The 17,194-nt window shown below is 37.9% G+C and overlaps 1 protein-coding gene across 9 annotated transcripts in view; it reads left to right on the top strand.

Annotated features, from left to right (window-relative positions):
* KYAT3 (kynurenine aminotransferase 3) overlaps window positions 1–17,194 on the top strand; it is a 71,917-nt gene that overhangs the window by 32,445 nt on the left and 22,278 nt on the right. For all 9 annotated transcript variants that reach the window (NR_146185.1, NR_146183.1, NR_146184.2 and 6 more), the window contains 4 exons: window positions 5,291–5,367; window positions 7,364–7,453; window positions 11,239–11,425; window positions 17,093–17,166. Coding sequence is in view for 6 of the 9 variants with exons in the window: in NM_001349447.1 (NP_001336376.1) it covers window positions 5,291–5,367; window positions 7,364–7,453; window positions 11,239–11,425; window positions 17,093–17,166 (428 nt within the window). In the remaining 3 variants the exon portion in view is untranslated. The remainder of the gene's footprint in view (window positions 1–5,290; window positions 5,368–7,363; window positions 7,454–11,238; window positions 11,426–17,092; window positions 17,167–17,194) is intronic.

Here is a 17,194-nt window from a genome sequence, read left to right as displayed (position 1 = left end):
ATAGTTAACACCTCTCCCTCCAGCATTTGCTTTGTCCTTTTTCTGTTTTGTTTTGTTTTTTCCTCTATAGTAAATATCAGAATCTATATATTTTACTTCTAAACCACAGTAATGGAGGGATTTTGTTTGTTTTAGTCTCTTCTGCATCCCCATTTTCCATAGAATCTTGTACATGGTAGAGAATTAGAAAGAAATTGTTGAATAAATGAAGATGAAAGATGAAAAGATTAAGAGAAGGATGACTAAAAAATGTGGCAGAGATAGATAAATTTTAAAATTTAGGCCAGGTACAGTGGCTCATGCCTGTAATCCCAGCACTTTGAGAGGCTAAAGTGGGTGGATTGCTAGAGTCCAGGAGTTCAAAACTGGCCTGGGCAACATGGAGAAACCCCGTCTCTACACAGAAATTCAAAAAATCAACCAGGTATGGTGGTCTGTGCCTGTAGTCGCAGCTACTTGGAGGCTGAGGTGGGAGGATCCCTTGAGCCCAGGCACCACTGGCTCACTGCAGCCTCCATCTCCTGGGCTCAAGCAATCCTCCCACCTCAGCCTCCCAAGTAGATGGGACTGCAGGCACAGACCACCATACCCGGCTAATTTTTTTTAAGAAAAATAAAAATAAGAAATGTAATGCACTTATATATTAAATTGTTGCATTGTTGCATGTGCCATAATTATTCCTATAGTATATTACAAGTTGCTATAGAGATGGGAAGAGAAAGCGACTGTTTGAGGGGAATAAAAAAGGAGTGGCCAAAAGATAGAGAATTAGCTAAACAGAGAAATAGAAACTAAACTCCTAAAACATAAACTAGCATGTACTTAGATAAGGAGGTATGAAAGATCAAGATACACTTAAGAAAGGTAAATGATTATTGAAATTTTAAAAACAAAGAAGAAGAAAGGTAAATAAGTTATTTAATTTTTTTTTTTTTTTTTTTTTGAGACAGAGTCTTGCTCTGTTGCCCAGGATGGAGTGCAGTGGTGCGATCTCAGCTCATTGCAACCTCTGCCTCCTGGATTCCAACAATTCTCCTGCCTCAGGCTCCCAAGTAGCTGGGATTACAGGTGCATGCCACCATGCCTGGCTAATTTACTTTTAGTAGAGATGGGGTTTCACCGTGTTGGCCAAGCTGGTCTCAAACTCCTGACCTCGTGATCCACCCACCTCGGCCTCCCAAAGTGCTGGGATTACAGGTGTGAGCCACCGTGCCCAGCCTTAATTTTTTTTTTTTTTTAAGAGACAGGGTCTCGCTGTGTCACCCAGGCTGGAGTGCAGTGGCTCAGAGCTCACTGTAATCTCAAACTTTTGCTTTCAAGCAATCCTTCCACCTCAGCCCCCCAAATAGCTATGACTACAAGTCTGCACCCCCTCATCTGGCTAATTTTTTAAAAATTTTTGTAGAGATAGCATCTCACTATGTTGCTCGGACTGTTCTCAATCTCCTAGACTCAAGCGATCCTCCTGCCCTGGCCTCCCAAAGGGCTGTGATTACAGGCATAAGCCATAGAACCTCGCCTCAGTTTGATTTATGAGGGTGTGTTTTAGTAACTGGCATAGATCAGGGTGGAAAACTAGGGTGATTCTAAAGGACTTTGAATATGAGATAGAGTATAAACTTTGTTGAGGAGGTCAGTGGTTCTGAAACTTACTTTAGTGGTAGATCACCATGAGATCACAGTGTTCTACATCATGAAATGGTGATATTGTGAATTCCATCCTGAAAGTAATAGCAATTTTCCTAAAAGAAATCCAACAATTAGAAGCCAATATAAAAATCACACTTCTGTTCATACTTGTCCACAACAAAAAGCTATTGAAATAAACACATTTGAGTTTTTCTGATTTTGCCATTAATATGCATTTACTAAATGCTCATCTGTTTCACTATTGGAGCATCCACTATCAGATAAGTGGTAGTATTTGCTAAAGGCTTAAGAAAATTGTGTGGTAGAAAACTTAACATTGATTTTTTAAAATTCTGCACATTAATTTGATCACCAGAGTGCCAGTGAGCTTACTTTGAGAACTATTGCAAAAGGTGTAACAAAACAGGAGAAATGGTTCCATGACTAGATTTTTTTTTTTTTTTTTTTACAAAGATGAGAGCCAGCCACAGAGGAGGGTCTTAAGCAAATCAGATAACCTAGCAGTGAAGATGGTACATCGGGGCTATTTAGAAACTATAGAGTATAGCATTTGAAGGTGGGAAGAAAACAAGCATGCTACTAAGATCTCTAGCCTGAACTACTCAGCAGTGATGAGACCTTTAACCAGGGTAAATATGGAGAGGAGCAGATTTGTATGGAAGGGCTGAGCAAAGGGAATTCCTGCTTCTCATGCTTTAAACTTGCTGAGTTTGGGTGTCTGTGGGACATAGAAGAATAGATATCTGGGGACAAGTGGAATTATAGGCCTGATCGTCAGAATCAAATTATAATGGGATATATTTTTGGCAGTCATCAAAATGTTGGTGGTAGCTGGACACATGGAAGAGAATGAATTTTCTCAAGGGGAATATATAAACAGAGAAGGCAGCCAGAGATTTGCAGGGTGTGACACCTTAATACACCAAAATGTTATCATGTTTTAAATTGTATCAGAGGCCACAATTGCCCATCTTGTTGGTGACCTCTGTCTCAAGTAATTTGAACTGTTTCCCAGTGGAAAATCAGATTAACATGAACAATTACTTTCTTGTTGTAATTAACTCAGTGTAGCAATATTCATCCCAAAAAATCACTTTAGATCATCTTGAAATTTATTGTTTAGATCTACTCATTTTAAGCCCTTCAGGGTAAAGCATAACTGGTAACATTATTTACTAAAGATATGCAACAGTATTTACTAAAGATATGCAAGATGTATATTTTGAACTTAGATTTTTTTATTTGTAGCAGCCCATAAAGTTTAAATAAGACCAAAAAATGGATACACTATTTCATTATTTAGAAAGTGCAATTTGTTTGCATTAAAACTTAGGTATTCTATCGAATACAATAGTCTTTGTTACATTAAAGATGCAAAATGGCTACAAAATGGCCATTACATCAATTTGCAAAGTGCAACAGTAGTCCTTTAATATATGATGTATCCTTTACTTTAAAGGAAGTGATAATCTGCATTATACGTAGTTTAGATTTTCTCTGATCAAATAGAAAAGTGGGGCATGTGTCATAGTGTTCTTTTGGAGTATTTTGGAAGACCAGAAATGTCTCAGAAGGGATATAATTATTTATATCAAATCTTAAAGTATTCCTTCTTCAAGTGGACATTCTAACTATTTTTCTCATTTATCTTTTTGGGTTTTGTCATATTCCACAGAGAATAAAATTATAACTTTTCTGATTTATATGCTTTTCCTACTGTTTCAAATTTAGCAGGTATTTCAGGGTAGACTGAAATTACTTATACGTTGTTTTGGAAATTTCTGTAGCTGCCTTACATTTTAGTAGGCACTTTACTTGCTTATGAGCAGATTACTTCAAGAAAGCAGAAGCTTAGATTCCCAGAGATGAGCATTTATTTTCCCTTTGTGTGTACCAACACTCTAAGGACAATACAAGAGCCCCCACTTGTGCTTCTGAAAAACAAGTGGAAAAACTTGTGGGTTGCATGGAAAGAACTTCACAAGTAAATTACTTGAGGAATCCACAAAGCAGTATTGTGGGTGGCATTGTCAGAAGAGTGACAGAATGGTAATTTACCAGTTATTACCAATGTCTAGCAAAATTTACAAACTCTTGCATTTTAGACCTCTAGACCTTTGTTACCTGCATTTTCTTAGCCCAAAATATCTTCATTCCCCTTCTCTGCCTGGCTACAGCCTATGTGGTCTTCTATGTCTCAGCTTAAGAATTACTGGCTGCAGAAAGCCACCCTCAACACCCTCTTCTATTCTTGCATCACCCTCCATGCCTCCTACTACAGCATTTATCACACTGCATTACAGTTGTCATTGTATGTGGCTCATGTCCCTACTAGACATTAAATTTTTTGAAGAATTGCATCTTATTCATTTTTGGTTCCTCTAGACCTTAGTCCTTAGCACCTGGTGGTTGCTAATGAATATTTGATGTATGAATGAATCAATGTCTTTATTAAAGATGTTAAACAACTTGAAAACCATTATACAGCCAATTCACATTATTCTTGAGTTCTGTATTTGCAAATTTGCCTACTTCCTAAAATATATGTGTAATTCCAAAATCAATAAAGGGGAAATTTGAGTCACCCTACACACATTCCCAGTCGAGGTCAAACAAGGCAACATTATGCTTCTGTTTCAATTCACACTATAAGCAATTGTTCTCTGTACAGTGATTTTGCTGTTTAAAATGGCCCCCAAGCCTAGTGCTGAAGTGCTGTCTAGTATTCCTAAGTGCAAGAAGGCTGTGATGTTCCTTACGGAGAAAATATGTGTGTTTGATAAGTTTCATTCAGGCACAATGGCCATGAGGATATTAAAGAGTGATAGCTAAAAGGTACAGGGCTTCTTTTGAGATAAAAAAAGTGTTCTGAAATTGGTTATGGTGATAGTTGCACAGATCTATAGATATACTAAAAAAATCACTGAATGGCATACTTTAAATTGGTGAATTTATGGGATTTATATCCCAATAAAGTTGTTAGCAAAACACACGCCCATACACACATACACACACACATGCACACACACACACACATGTGCACACATGATTACTGGGTCCCACTCCCAGAGTTTCTGATTCAGTAGGTCTGGGATGAGGCCCAGTGATTTGCCTTTCTTACAAGTTGCCCAGTGATGCTGATATTGCTAGTGTGAGATCACATTTTAAGAGCCATTGCTCTAGGAAGCCTGGAGAAATACACTCAGAAAATAGGCAAAATAAAGGGGCCTAAACAATAATCAGGATCACAACCTAAGCCCTGCCACTGGCCTATTTTATCGAACCTGCAGTCACTGCTAACATTGAACACTGAATGCTACAGCTCCTGTGACAGCTGCCACTTAAGGCAGTCTGGAACACTGCCTGCTGGTGCCCCTGACACTCCTGCCCCAGAACTAATTTTAAAATTATTAAATCTATTTATATACTATCTTGGTGCAACATTACAGTATTGTAAACTTTTCGTCTGTGTTTTGCATTAAAGTTACATTATCTAAAAAAAAAACTAGAAATAACTATACTGGCTAAATTATAACACACTTATTTTCATTGAATTTATGTATCTTTGTTATGTTTTTAGATTATACTAAATGTGATTAATTGGAAAACAATATTTACCCTTTTTTCCTCCTCTGTTTAGCTACTTTTCCAGGTATGTGGGAGAGAACAATAACAATAGGAAGTGCTGGAAAGACTTTCAGTGTAACTGGCTGGAAGGTAAGATGAGTAAGAATTTAATTGCTTAAAAATAGGCCTGTATATTATTTATTTTTTGTTGAGTGGTTTGTGTTTTAAATGCTGGCCAGGCATGGTGGCTCATGCCTGTAATCCCAGCACTTTGGGAGGCTAAGGCAGGAGGATCACTTAAGGCCAGGAGTTCAAGACCAACCTTGGCTACATGGTGAGACCCTGTCTCTACAAATACATTTTTTAAAAATTAGCCAGGCAGGGTGGTGCATGCCTGCAGTCCCAGCAACTTGGGAGGCTGAAATGGGAGGATCACTTGCGCTCAGGAAGTTGAGGCTGCTGTGAGCTGCGCTCCAGCCACTTGGAGACAGAACAAGACCATCTTTAAAAAAATAATGAAATAAATAAGTAAACAAATAAATGAATCATTGCATACATATTCAGTTTATATAGATTTTTATACCTGGTGATCTTTGCTTATCTCTTGACTTATTTGGCTTTCATGTTGAGTTTTATCCTTTTTGAGACCTAATTATTTCTTTAAACATAAGAAAAATTAGGTCATTTTCCCTTTTATAAGTGATCAACTAATGACACCTTTTTCTTTGCAAAAAAGTGTTCAGATTGCTGCATATTAATATAAAAGGAGAAAAATAATAGTAGCTAATATTTTGGCAGGTTCTAAATATATACCAGGTTCTAAATGTTTTACATATACTAATTTCTTTCATTCTCATAACCACACTATAAGGTGGGTATGATTAGTGTCCTCATTTTACAGATGACAGAGCTAAAGCACAGAGAAGTTAAATGACTTGCCTGAGATTACCCAGCTAATAAATTCAAGCCTGTACAGGAAGTCTGGCTCCAGAATTCATGCACTTAACCACTGTATTATTTATTACAATAATTTATCCAGTTAAAACCCAATTCTCTTCCAGCCTCACCTCTCCTGAGCATGGGTAAGAAGCAGGGAGCATCGGCCAGGCGTGGTAGCGCACGCCTGTAATCCCAGCACTTTGGGAGGCCGAGGCGGGTAGATCACCTCAGGTCAGGAGTTCTCAACCAGCCTAACATGGTGGAACCCCATCTCTACTAAATACAAAAAAATTAGCTGGGCGTGGTGGCGCATGCCTGTAATCCCAGCTACTTGGGAGGCTGAGACAGGAGAATCACCTGTACCTGGGAGGCGGAGGTTGAGTGAGCCGAGATCCGGCCATTGCACTCTAGTCTGGGCAACAAGAGCAAAACTCCGTCTCAAAAAAAAAAAAAAGAAGAAGAAGAAGAAGGAGGGAGCATCAAAACAAAAATTAGGCCTGGAGAATCAAGTCTGTATGTTTTAATTACAAGTCCCTTAGGCCCTCTTTCAGAGTTACTTTAATCTGTAATTCAAACAAGCTTTGTTACCAGTTTTTAATCTTCCAGAATATCAGAAGTAGCAAATTATTAGAAAGGAAAAGGCTAATAATGATCGCCGGCTGTTTACCTTCAGAAAGGCAGAGCTTAGTGATGAAAGCAGAGTTTAATGACTCCATTTGGAAGCTGTTCCTTGAAAAGAACACCATTGAAATGATTCTAAGTACTAATACTGTACTACTTTCATAGTGTGAACTTTTTTTTTTTTTTTTTTTTTGAGATAGAGTCTCACTCTGTTGCCCAGGTTGGAGTGCAGTGCTGTGATCTCAGCTCACTGCAACCTCTGCCTCCTGGGTTGAGGTGATTCTCCTGCCTCAGCTTCCCAAGTAGCTGGGATTACAGGTGCCCACCACCATGCCCAGCTAATTTTTTTGTATTTTTATAGAGACAGCATTTCACCATGTTGACCAGGCTGGTCTTCAACTCCAAACCTCAAGTGATCCACCCACCTCGGCTTCCCAAAGTGCTGGGATTACAGGTGTGAGTCACCATACCCAGCCAACATTTTAGGATTGTATATATTTAACAATTGCACTAAGTTTAAACTGCTGTCTCAGATTTGTTATATACAATTAGATTTTCTGAAATCTTTTATCTTTTCCTTTCCCAGCTTGGCTGGTCCATTGGTCCAAATCATTTGATAAAACATTTACAGACAGTTCAACAAAACACGATTTATACTTGTGCAACTCCTTTACAGGTAAGTGTTATAGTAACTCAGGGTAGAAGCATTGTCTTTTGGTGAAGGTATTACTTTTATATTGCATATTTGAATTGACTTAATTCTCCTTCTATCCTTCTGTTGCAGGGCCTTCTAATATAATTTGGAATTTGGGGAGCAGATACATATTCACTGTTATCAAGCATGGTTTGGGTTTTTTTTTAAACACAATTTTAGCTGTGTTAAACATTGCTGGCAGGAATCTAAAGTGCTACAAATTCTGTGAAGGACAATGGCAACACCAAACAAAATTACACATGTGTTTGCCCCATGAAAGCAATCCATCTTCTAAGAATTTACCCTAAAGTTGTGTTTTAGTCCGTTCTTGCACTTAGGTAAAGAAATACCTGAGACTTAGTAATTTATAAAGAAAAGAGGTTTACTTGGCTCATGGTTCTACAGGCTGTACAGAAAGCATAGTGGCTTCTGCTTCTGGAGAGGCCTTAGAAAACTTACAATAATGGTGGAAGGCAAAGAGGGAGTAGGCATGTCTCACAGGGCTGGAGCAGGAGGGAGAGAAGTGGGGAGGTGCAACACACTTTTAAACAACCGTATCTCACAATAACTCACTCTCATGAGAACAGCATCAAGGGGATGGTGCTAAACCATTCATGAGAAACCACTCCCATGATCCAATCACCTCCCACCAGGCCCCACCTCCAACATTGAGGATTACAACTGGACACTAGATTTGGATGAAGACACAGATCCAAACCATATCAAGCTATCTGCACATGTAAGAAGTTACGTACTTACCTGGCTATTCATTGCAGATGATTGAGGAGAATCCATTATCATCTACAGACGATTGATTACATAAACCATGATCTATCCAAACATTGAAATGTTATATGACCATATTAAGTTTCCTACTGGTGCTATAACAAATTACCACAAACTTAGTGACTTAAAACAACACAAATTTATTATCCTACGGTTCTTCAGCTCAGAAGTCAGAAATGGGTCTTAAAGGGCTAAAATCAAGGTGCTGGCATTGCTGTGTTCCTTCTGAAGGCTCTAGGAGAGTCTGTCCTCTGCTTCCGTCAACACATTTCCTGTGGCTTCAACCCTCCTGCCTCCCTTTTTCCCTTATAAGCACCTTTGAGATAACATTGGGCCCAATGGATAATCTGTCCAATTAATTAAGGATAATCTCCTTAATTTCAATCACATCTGCAAAGTTCCTTTCACCATGCAAGGTAACATATTTACAAGTTCTGGGTTTTAAGACCTAGAAGTCATTGGGACCCATTACTCTGTCTACTGGCTGCTAAAGAGAAAAGAAACAAGAAAGAAAATAGGGAAATACTATAATTACTGTACTGAGATAAAAAAGATTTCTAGAATACATCATAAAGTAAAAAAGAAAAACTATTTAAATATTATTTAATATTTAATATTTTTAATATATATTATGGAAATAGGGATTTAGTTACCATCATTCTATGGATAATCAAAATGCTGAAAAAAATAGTATTTTTCTAGAAGGCAGTTAAAAGGGCAAAAGAACCAGGCACAATGGCTCACGCCTATAATCCCAACACTTTGGGAGGCCAAGGTGAGCGGATCACCTGAGGCCAGGAGTTCGAGACCAGCCTGGCCAACATGGCAAAACCCTGTCTCTACTAAAAGTACAAAAATTAGCTGGGCATGGTGGCAGGCGCCTGTAATCCCAGCTACTCAGGAGGCTGAGGCAGGAGAATTGCCTGAATCCAGGAGACAGAGGTTGCAGTGAGCTGAGATCGTGTCACTACACTCCAGCCTGGGCAACAACAGCAAGACTTCGTCTCAAAAAAAAAAAAGAAAAGAAAGAAAAAAAAGATGTTGATAGATATGAAGAAGAAAGATAAAATAGGGAAGAGGAAGGATATAAAGCTCCAGGTGGGAGATATACAGTGTTAAATAGGGTAATCTTTGAAAGCCTCCCTGATAAGGTAACATTTGAACAACTAACTGAAGGGGATTAAGCAGCCACATGGTTACCTAGAGAAAAACCCCTTTGGACAGAGAGAACAAGCGGAAAGGCCCAGTGGTAGACAGCCTGGCTGGCATGTTAATATCAGAGAACAGCACAGAGACTGGAATGGAATGATTGAGAGAAGAGTAGGAAAAGCTAAGATCAGAGAGGTAGCTGGGAGTCCAATGGAGCTGGGGCATGCATGTCACTGTAAGGACTGAGTGAGATAGGAAGTCACTAGAGAGTTTTGAACTCAGGAGTGACTTGGTCTGGCTTGTGTTAGCAAATGGACTCTGACTGCCTCATTGAGTGAGAAAGCTGTTACAGTGATCCAAGAGAGAAATGCCAGTGCATTGAACAAAGATGGGGGTGGTAGAAGCAGTAAAAAGTGATTGGACTCTGAATATATTTTGAAAGTAGAGCCAACATTATTTGTCAATAGGTTACATATGGGATATGTGAAAAAGAAAGGAGTCCAGGATAATGCTGTAGTTAGGATGGATGTTTATGTCTCCTTATACTTGGAATTTTCTAAGGCAGTATCTCCTATAGTAAATGAACAAGTTGCCAAGAGAAAAAAAAAAAAAGATATAGCTAAGAATGCAGAACATCTTTTTCTGAACACTCTTATTCTCCATTTCAGCTAGGTGCTCTGTTTTGTCCTGGGACAACCATGTTTGGTTCCAGGAAACCACAGATTTCCAGGCTAAGGCAATCGATCCTTATTTTCCAAGATTTTGTAGTACTGGAGATTTATTACTAATTCTGTTTTACTGCATTCTTTTGGCATAAAATCTCTGTGATCTTGCCCCTCTCTGTCTCCAGTCTCATCTCTTGCCACACAGTCTCTCTTACCTGCCTGGTCCTTAATGTCTTAGTTGGACTGGGTGGCTTATAAACAACAGAAATTTATTTCTCACTGTTCTGGAGGCAGCAAAGTCCAAGATAAGGCACCAGCAGATTTGGTGTCTGGTGGGGACATGCTTCTTCACGGATGGTGCCTTTTGCTGTGTCCTTACATGGTGGAAGGAGCAAGCTAACCCTCCTTTGTAAGGGCACTAATCCTGTTCCTGAGGGCTCTACCCTTCTGTCCTAATCACTTCCTAAAGGCCCCACCTCCTAATACCATCACCTTGGGGTTTACTATTTTAATATATGAATATGAGAGTGGGCACAAACATTCAGTCCACTATACTTAACAACATTGGCTTTTTCCTTGGCCCAGTTTGCTGTCCTGGCTCTTGAAGAAAGATAGAGGAATTACTGTAGATGTTCCAGAAACTCATTTCTAGTCCCTCTTACACTTTGACCAACTTCCTGGCATATGAATAATTCCAGCAAGGATTTCCACACCTATGGAGAATAAGAAAGGCACATTTCTCCTTTGCACAGTAGGTGAGCTTTCATTTCCACTCTGTCCCCAAATGTAATGGTGAGAGGCTGACTACTCTCTGGTTGTTCTTCTGACTTAGATTTAGCAAGTCATTCTACAACTCACCTCAGCAGAAAATATCTTAATGTCTTTTTGTTTCCAAGCAAGCCACCTTTAAGTAACAGCTCTTTTTCAATTTGAATTTTCAGGACTCCTTCTCAGTTCTTCACATGAGATTTAATCATTTAGGTATAACTGATTCCTCCATTAACCTATAGAGTTTAATATAGGTTCACAGGAATTCAACTGTTATTTCCTGAGTGACTTCTTTGCCAATAATTTTACTCAGATCATCTCTATTTATTATACCAATAAACTAAGCAATAAATAACATTGCCATATGCCTTTTCATATTTTTTGATTCTTAACAAACAGGAAGCCTTGGCTCAAGCTTTCTGGATTGACATCAAGCGCATGGATGACCCAGAATGTTACTTTAATTCTTTGCCAAAAGAGTTAGAAGTAAAAAGAGATCGGATGGTACGTTTACTTGAAAGTGTTGGCCTAAAACCCATAGTTCCTGATGGAGGATACTTCATCATCGCTGATGTGTCTTTGCTAGGTTTGTAAAGGCTTTTATTATTTCAACTATACGGAAACTTATGTGTGAAATTATATCAGAATTATGGAGAAAAGATTGGTGTCAAAGCCACAGCAGCATTTTATCTGTGGAGAAGGATGGATTTTTGCAATGTCTACATTTTCTATAATTATCTTTACTTTTAGGCCTTTTACCTTAAATGTGACCATTGTTAAATGGTTATGGAGTCAGTGTTGTTCTAGTTAGTCTATTAAACATAGGATTTGCTATCACTCTCTTCTGGTGTGTAATTTTAAAACACAAGTGTGTGAAATAATATTATATACTCAGTGTTCATTTGAGTAAAATTGTAGTTTCCTTTTTACTTAACAAAATGTACTATTTCATTAGAAAAATATCTAGAAATTTTGAAGCTATCAGGGAATATTTGCCATTTTAGAATGTACTGAAATAAAATAAATGGGAGAATAACACTTATTGAGGGTCTACTTTGTGCCACGTACTCAAAACACCCTTTTGAAGAAAACATTAGCTCCATTTTTGCAGGTAAAAAGATTTAGAAAGTTTTAAATAGCTTCCCTGAAGTCACACAGCTAGATTCTAAATAGTTCTGTTTCCAAAAAGCATTGTTTTTTATATTACCTAAAGCTGTTATATGTAATTCTGACATGCCATACAAATCTAAAGTTAGAAGCATGATAATGTGTCATATATAACTTTTCTTTTAAAAAAATTAGTAATAGTAAACCTTGAAGCCTAATTTATCATGACAGAAATTACAGCCATTCTAAATATAGTTTTAAATGTTTTAAAATTTTATTACAATGAAGTTATATGCCAATGAACTTGAAAAACTGAAGTGTTTTATTTATACTAAATTGTATAAAGCTGGAAAGAGTAAAGGAAATTTTCAATTTTATAGCAAAACATTGATCATATTTTTTAACTTTACATCCTTCACATAGGAGTTTGTTTTGTTTTGTTTTGTTTTGTTTTGTTTTGTTTTGTTTTGTTTTGTTTGAGGCAGGGTCTGGCCCTGTCACCCAGGCTGGAGTGCAGTGGCGTGATCTCAGCTCACTGCAACCTCTGCCTCCTGGGCTCAAGCCATCCTGCCACCTGAGTCTCCTGAGTAGCTGGGACCACAGGCATGCACCACCACACCTAGCTAATTTTTAAATTTTTTTTAGAGACGAGGTTTTGCCACATTTCCCAGGCTGGTCATGAATTCCTGAGCTTAATGAGTGATCCACCTGCCTCAGCCTCCCAAAGTGCTGGGATTACAGGCATGAGCCACTGGCTGAGTTCTTTCTTACTATAAGCATTTGATGCTAGCAATTTTTACTTGTAATAGTTCATTATCATCTTAGCAAATTTCAGAAAAGTAAGGTGTTATGATTTTCCTATAATTTGGTCTTCAGGTCTGTCTCTCTGGAAAGTGGCTGTAAACTCTAGCTGTTCCCTGATGGGGCTCCAGGGGAGGTCCTGGATGTTTGCAGTGTGCCTTTCATGGGCTACTTGTTTATCCTGGCAGATGGCCTGATGTTAAGTGTCTGACCCATGACCAGACATCCCTGGAAACTGGTTTATACTGGCAGACATCCTTGTGGCTCTCATCTGACCTGTATCCAGTTTATTTCCACAGAGATAGCCACTCTCTAGGAGGAGGAGAGTTAGGTTCCGGTGTGTTGGTCAGTTGGGACACAGAAGAGGCAGCAGGCCTCCCGGGACCAATGGGAAGTGAGGAGTGGTCCAGGATATACACACTCAACCAGCAGGTGGGGAACAGAGAGAGAGTGGGATCTGTGGGCCAAAGCCTTTTTGGGGGCCCAAGGTGTTACCCAAGCAGGTTTCCTGCAGAGACTTCTAACAGATGGGTTTAGAGCGAGCAGGCACAAGCTCATGGTGTCAGGCTGTGACTGAGAGGTGGTCACTGTGGCATATCTAGGCAGTCCATGAGGAGGGTGGGGGTCAGTGGGCGAGTCAAGTAGGTTGTATCTAGCTGTACCACAGTGAGGTGCTCGCCAGGAGGTGGTTGTCTCAGGCAGATATCTGAATCAACTACATTGAGGAACTGTGAGGAGGAAGAGAAGTGGAAATTGTGTCAAGGGTGACTAAGCCCTGCTTCTGGTATAAGAAAGACCAACTTATATTCACAATGGATGCCAAGACAACATACAGTCATAAGAATTCATTACATGAGGTTTGGCTCAAACTGAAACACTCTCCTTCCTTTCACATTAGCTTATTTCTTCATTTGTTGTGAGAGAAGAGGCTTTGACAAGCAAAGATTCCTGCAGTGCTATTGCCATAGAGCTGTATTTAGCAGGCTCCCAAGCTCTATGCTTATATAGAACCTCTTAAGGTGTTCTAGACTCTGAGATTTGGGAAGTGCTTTTTCTATATTGAGTCTAAATGTGCAGTTCATTTTATGAAATGATAAAAAAAATTAGCACAGTTGTCATCACTTATATTTTTGCCTTTGAATCATAAATCCCCAAGATTTCCATATGAATTATTATTTTTTTAAAAGAACAACATTTGTACTTTATATGCTTCCAAAAGGAATGTGAGCCTTCTCATATTAAAAGTTTTCTATGCAGTAATATATAAATAGAAATGATTGTATCTAAATCAAAAATCAATGATACATGGCCAGTACAGTGACTCCTGCCTGTAATCCCAGCACTTTGGGAGGCCAAGGCGGGAGGATTGCTTGAGCCCGGGAGTTCAAGACCAGCCTGGGCAACATAGTGAGATCCTGTCTCTTAAATTAAAAAAAAAAAAAATCAGTTACACATAGGAGGGAAAGAAAGCAAATATTTCAGTCACCTAGGTTCACATAGTATTGTAATTAGCATTAACTTGAGACTAAACTTCCTGACAGTAAAGGCAAACAGAAAAATGAAATTAGTTGCGTAGTTTTTGAATAAAAAGAAACTTAGCTTTTTAGATAAGAACAATTCTTTCCTGGAACCAAACTTTTCCAGATATGAAACTCGATTTATCACATTGTGACATTAACTATCAAAAGAACAGTGATAAAACTCAGAATATTACATTAAGCTCCTAATTAGTTTCCATTTCTTTCCTCAGTCAATCCATTCTATATGCAATACTAATTTAGGTCTTAGATCTTGAACTAGTGTGGTGATAATAGGAGCAAAAAGGATTTTGGTTAGGAAAGCTTTTCTGATAATGAAAACAAGATTTTTTTTATGGTCTTCCTTCACTCGTGGAAAAATGTTAATGTCCACAAAACCTTCCTACATATAAAGAAATTTATGTTTTGTTTTACCTTTTCATCTGCTTCATTTGCAATGTGATAATTCTTCCATATACTAAAAGTTGGCCCATAAACTAGAGATAAAAACAAAAACTCTTATTTAATCGTAGCTTGAGAATAAAAGTAAACCATAATATTCATGAAAATAGTAATGACTTCCCTTTACAATTAATAGCAAGGGCTGACTAGTTAATATTTATTGAGAATTTATGATACAGTATGAATTACATTAGGAGCTTTGCAAATATATTCTCACAAAAGCTATATGAAATTGGTGCTATTATATCACTATTGATAGAGAAGAGGAGATAGAGAATCAAGTAATTTACTGAAGTTAATCAACTAATAAGTATCAAAGCTGGCCTCTGAATCCAGTAATTAGAAGACAAGATTTCAAATGAGATTATTACAGTTTTTCTAGTGAAATAATAGGATCCAAAATTATGGAGGAGATAGTAAGAATGCAAAAACAAATTTGGGCCTTCATAGATTACTTAGATATGCTCACACATTTGATTTAAACTCTTACTGTCAATAAAGAAAGACTTTAGTTCCCTTGAGGATGTCTGGCTGAGGCATGTCAAAAGAAATAGATTCCAAATTCCTTCTGACTAAAAAACCTTTATAATTATATTTATTCCCTTCTTTCCTTTTTCAACATCATGGTATTACGTTACTTTTTTCTGGCAGGGTACCATGGCTCAGGCCTGTAATCCCAGCACTTTGGGAGGCCGAGGCGGGTGTATCACTTAAGGTCAGGAGTTTGAGACCAGCCTGACCAACATGGTGAAATTCCACCTCTACTAAAAATACAAAGATTAGCCAGGTGTGGTGGCGCATACCTGTAATCCTAGCTACTCAGGAGGCTAAGGCAGGATAATTGCTTGAACCGGGGAAGTGGAGGTTGCAGTGAGCCGAGATCGTGCCATTGTACTCCAGCCTGGGTAACGAGAGAGAAACTCCATCTCAAAAAATAAATAAATAAATAAATTCCTTTTGTCTAAGCTCTACAAGAATAAATGAGTAGTACAGTGTCAATTAGAATTAGTCAATAATCCTCTTCTACTCCCTTAGGTATTCACTCCTTTCTCTGCCTACCTGTGTACCTTCAATACACTGCTGTTGTATACCTGTCACATGGAATTTTTACATAATTTACAATTAGACTAAGTTTTTTAGCTGGTATTTTTGTTAGGGCCAAACCTGAATTACATATAAATACCTTGAAATAATAATTTAACTTCCTTATCTGTAAACAGAGGATTATCATTACCTCTCAGAATTGTGGTAACAACTAAATGAGATGATCATGTAACATGCTTAACCAATAAGAAGTGTTCAATAAATTGCAGTTTGTTGTTGGCATTATTACTTGGAAATTTTATGTTCTCCTTAAAACACAGGGGAGAATGGAGATTAAAATATCAGGTAAAAGGATATTAGGGCTTTGTTTTAAAAATACAGGTGAACCTTTCTTCAGTGTCAAAGGTTTTACATGATTAATTTGAAAAGAACCACTAGTATTTAATGTATAGAAGAAAGAAGTAAGATATCTGCCTCAATTTGTTTTCAGCAATAAATTATAAAATTTCCTGGATGACGATAACCATCAATATTAGTTGCTTTAGGGCATTCAAGAAGATCAAAGAGTACAAGTCAATAAAGTTGAAACAATATGAAATGTGGATTGCTGAAACTGAATGCCAGAGATATATCTTGCCCAGACCTTAAAGCAAAATTGAGGCAAGAGCAAACAGGAGTATATATTTGACTTTTTCACAAATTTAAAAAAAGGTATAATATATGGGAGCAAGAGATGAAAAATAAGAGTAGCATTTGGAAGATCTAAACAGATATCCTGTATTTATAAATAATGCATAATATTAATTTATCCATTCAACAAATATACTTTTTGTCACTTATGTGCTAGACACTGACCTAGGGGTTGGGAATACGATAGGTTACCAAACAGACACTTTACTTTTGTGGAACTTATAGTCGAATGAGTGGCTATGTGGAGATATAATCTTACTGATGAATACTTAAAAATTTAGCAGTTATTTCCTTAGTAATGATCATAGAGTCTTATTTCTCAATGGAAAGGCATCCCTCCTCTGCCCTTCACCTTTTCTACTCTCTTCCTGTGCTGAAAGCTGCACGTATAAGCCTAATCACCCTGATGTATATGTGAGTACTGCCTTAGACTATCAGTAAAGCTCTGTGAATTCACTTCCCACCCCACCGTACAGTGTGAGACTCCAGCATATTCTGTGACTATGTTCTGAGAAAATTCTAAACCAAGCTAATTTAAATAGGAGAAAATGTTGAATCTTGATAGACTTAAATGAAATACATGTTGCATCAGATGAAATTCATAGGCCACCTAATTTTCATTGTGGTTTTAGATCCAGACCTCTCTGATATGAAGAATAATGAGCCTTATGACTATAAGTTTGTGAAATGGATGACTAAACATAAGGTAATGTTTATTGTTCTTTGCAAGATTC

Source organism: Homo sapiens, chromosome 1 (genome assembly GCF_000001405.40).
Source record: "Homo sapiens chromosome 1, GRCh38.p14 Primary Assembly".
Lineage (NCBI taxonomy): Eukaryota > Metazoa > Chordata > Mammalia > Primates > Hominidae > Homo > Homo sapiens.
Note: the sequence above shows the minus strand (reverse complement) of the source record. Positions and strands in the feature narration are given on the sequence as shown.